The 4170-nt window shown below is 37.8% G+C and overlaps 1 annotated feature.

Annotated features, from left to right (window-relative positions):
- Positions 2487–2781: a silencer, noted in NCBI's record as "tiled region #953; HepG2 Repressive non-DNase unmatched - State 24:Quies". NCBI's record gives its function as "represses a minimal TATA promoter and a strong SV40 promoter by Sharpr-MPRA in HepG2 cells {active_cell/tissue: HepG2}" and the evidence as "EXISTENCE:reporter gene assay evidence [ECO:0000049][PMID:27701403]".

The following is a 4170-nucleotide window of genomic DNA, read 5'->3' as shown; positions in this document are numbered from 1 at the left end:
TGAAAGTGACACTTTGATATCTATTTTCATCTGTTGTGTTTACAAAGACAAAAGAGTTGATAATATCCAGTATTGACAAACGTGTAAAAGCATACTTGTACGCTTATAGTAAGAGAAAGAACTTAATGCTTCATTTCAGAAAGCAATTTTGCTGGCAGTTTGCAATCAAACTAAAATGCTTCAGTCAAGTCTCTCATGTTGAACGTCTATCCTTAAAAATTTGTGTACCTGGCATTTGTCTATTTGTCTTTATTCTACTTTTATTTTTCTCTGCTCTGTTGGAAGCCTCAAACCTTCGTTTCTTCATAGATGCCCCCAGTGGAAGGTATTAGGAGTCTGGGAAATGGGAAAAAGGAATAAGCCCTGTGGCCCTCTCTTTTACCTTCTGGATGTGAATCAATGCAGCCTTGGTAGCATAATTTTGCTGGAGGTTACTAATGTTGCTCATCATTCAGTTACTTTAAATATTTCCACACTATTATAGTATAAAAATTGTGTGGGCCTCTAGATTTTTGGAAGGCAGTGGTGGTGTGGTAGAGAGTTGTAGGGTTCTTCCCAAGCAGCCAAGACAGATGTAGAATGTCTTCCTGCTTCAGCAGCAGAGCAACTAGGCAATCTGTATCTTTTAGCCTAAGGATGGTAGGGGTTTATTGAATGTATTAATCTCTGAATAACCTCAGTTTTTTATTTTTGCTTTCCCAGTTCTTGTGACAAATTTGCAATCAATTCTGTTTTAAATATTCTCTATTTGAAATACACAGAGTAGTTCTGTTTTCTAGAAAAAGCTTTGACTGCCAGCCTTCCTCTCCCTATTTCTACTTTATTATTCTTCCATGTGTTGGCCCACTTTTTATTCTGCCTTCTCTTTTATTGCTTATCCTCTGAATGTTTGCTTTCCTCAGGGATCAATTACTGGCTTACTTTTCTTTGTGCTATGCACACACACCCTGGGTGACAGAAATCACTCTCCTGCCTAAATACTGAATACTCCCTCATCTTTAACTCATGTCAAATCCCACTATGAGGTCAAGACTGTCAGCTAAAAATCTCCTCTTGGCATTACAAATATAAATATTCAAATTGATATTATCATCTTCACAGTGTGCCATCAGTATGTTTGTTCTGCAATCTCAGCCAGTTGTTCACATCTATCCGGTTTCTTAAGTTAACATACTGGATTTCTTTCCTTGTGATTTGCTCTTTTTTACTCTCTCAATGCAATCTTTCACCAAGTTCCATTGCTTCTGGTTGCTAAGTAGTTTTTGAATATCCTTCCCTGCTGCTTTGTTATTCCCTTCTTGATTTGTTAACATCTTGTCGCAGAATTCACTCTTCAACCCCTCTAATCACCTGCAGCATTTCTACCAGAATAATTCGACAAATTAGAGATTTAATCGCATACTTTTTTTTGTAAAGTATTCTATTGAGTTGCCAAAGTCCTTGGGAAGGGTTCAAAGTCTTCTAGTGGGGCAGAAAAGACAATCAAGGACACAACACTTATCTCCCTTGCTTGGCTTTCTTACTAGCCACTGCTACCTTTGCACTTCTTGGTCCAGTCTCATTAAATCATTTGCATTTCCATTAATGTTCATTGACCTCTCCTCTGTAGTGCTTATTTTATCTCTTTTACTTCTGCCTGAAATGTTCTTCTCAACTTCATTTCCCTGGCTAACTCTCAGCCATCCCGGATCATCTCAGGCATTCAGGCATCTAGGAAGTCTTTCCTATGACACATCGCTTCTGTGTCGGTACCTCTGGATGCACAAGTTTCTCATAGCCCTTGTTATTCTGCACTTTACTCGCTGGCTTACTGATCTGCCTCTCCTTATAAACCCTAAGCACATTGGGGATTTTACAGCCCCCAGCTCAATATGGAATTTCATTGTAGACATTCAATACAACTCTTTCATGGTGTTGTTTCTTTTTTTAAAAAAATTTGGTAATATAACTTCATTGTGTTTTTAAAATTATGGTCATTTTCATACTGATCATTAGTTTTCCTATTTAATGAATATGCTATATTTCAAAGTGATAATATTTCCTTTAAAACCAGAATTGATCACTTTTTCTTGTATGTCTGCCTATAACTGCATACTGAGAAATAAATTTCTGAGGTGGGTAGGGGGAAGATTTTTACCTGAGCCACTTCAATTACCAGGCCCAAAAAGATATTTATAATGTGACAGTAGTCACATCTCCCTCCCACCTTGAACACAATAATTAATTCTTAAAGCCACTTTCTATGTGGGCTCTAAACTAACTGATGCCAAGTAGCCATAAAATGCCATGTACTAGAAATCATGACTCATACCCTGTAGTACAAAAATGTATAGCCAACCACTAATCACTGTTATTTTTCTTAAACCAGTGAGAGTTCCTCTCAAAGAACTTTGTATCAGCCCACTTCCTATCCTCTTTTGCATTTAAAAACCTGCTTGTAATAAAGGCCAAATAAGCGACTTTAAAGTATGTCCCTAGTAGGTCTCTTTATTTTAGTTCAGGTAAACTGTTTAAAATTATATTTTGTGGCTCAGCTTATTTCTTTTTGGTTGACATTCTTGAAAGAGCAAGAAGGGTTCAAAGTGATCCCCCCCACCTCCAGCCACAAACCATCAGACATTCCTTCCAGATTCAGCACCTACCCAGCTGTGAACCCCTTGTGTTCTTGCAGCTTGAAAGGAATAGTTGAATGTAAGGGATGAGTCCTGCTCTTTAGTTGGAGGTTTAGACTTTGCTTGAGCTATTCTTTTCAAATCTCTTTGCTTAAAATGGAGGATTTCCACCTTTGCCTAATGGGCAGCACATTTGAGTTTCAGGGAAATTAAAAAAGAAAAGAAAGAAACTTGACTTTCACTGTTTCTGCCTCACATCAGAATGGTCAAGGTACTGGGTCAAGGTACTGGCAATTTGGTGGTTTAACTTTATATAGCAGGCTTTTAAAATTGCAACTGCTTTCCATTGCATGAAATTGGGACTTAGGTTCTTATTTGTGACCAATTTTTATTAATTCCAAACAGAAAAGTGCATAAGGGTGAGTTATGTCACCTCAAAACTATATTGGACAATAGCTTCCCCTGACCCAGTTGGTTTATCTAGGTGACTTAGGGACTTTTCAGAGTTTTCAAGGGTGTTTTCCAGGATGTGATATGACCTCATAGGACATTCCTCACCAGAACATTTTTTAAGGGAACATTTTTTAAGGGATGCTTTTTTTTTTTTTTTTTTTTTTTTTGTCATTCAGGTGTGTATAATGTAAGGATTTGTCCCCCATAGCTCAGGCAACCCTTCTTCCCTGTGGCAATTGGAGGCAGTCTGAGACATGTCAGAGAATGATTCCTCACTCTTGGCTGACACCAAAAGAGTGATGCTCATAGGCACCACACTTCCACCCAGAATGGACTCTGGGACATGGTCACAGCCGAAAAGCTCCTTAATTATTTTGAAAATCTAGCTTCAAAATACGAGTGGCCTTATAAGGTACACCCTCTTTTAGAAACAACAGTTGGCTTTATGTACAACACTTTGGAGCATCCTCTTGTAAATATCAAGGAAAACAGACCCACATGAACCAGGATAATCATAGTCAGAAATGGTGAAAATGAGGCTCTTTTCAAATGCCTAAAATCATTTATTTGTGGGCACAACTATAAAGAGCTGGTTTATCGCCAGACAAATTGAGTAAGACCCTTACTTCTAATGGCACCTAGAAGCTTCTAAATTTTTTTCTGAGAAAATTGCTTATTCAAGAGGTAAACAAAATGATACCTGAATCTATTTCTGAATTTTATGATGCTAAAGGCCTTCTCTCTTCCACCTGCAACTGCTCCTCCTTCTACCCCTGTTCTTTTATACTCTCTTTTATCTAAACTCCCTTGTCTTGACTTGCCTTTCCTACAATCACTACCTGAGGAAACCCCCAAGGTATCTTGCTACTTCCCTGAAACTTCTGTTTTGGCAGCCTCTTTCAAGGTAAAACCCACAGGAAGAGCTGAGCTTACTATTTTGTATAACCCCTGGAAAAAAATTGAACTAAAGTATATCATTTTAAGATCCATTGGGTTTCTGAAATATTTGATTTAATTGTCTGGACTTGTTCTGACCTTTATTAATTAGTTCATATGCTAATATCAGAAAGCAGGGGCACTAAATGGTTAAAAAAGTCTAACTGAA

This window comes from Homo sapiens, chromosome 5 (assembly GCF_000001405.40).
Source record: "Homo sapiens chromosome 5, GRCh38.p14 Primary Assembly".
In the NCBI taxonomy this organism is placed as follows: domain Eukaryota; kingdom Metazoa; phylum Chordata; class Mammalia; order Primates; family Hominidae; genus Homo; species Homo sapiens.
The sequence above is the reverse complement of the archived record's forward strand: the minus strand, read 5'-3'. Positions and strand labels throughout refer to the sequence as shown.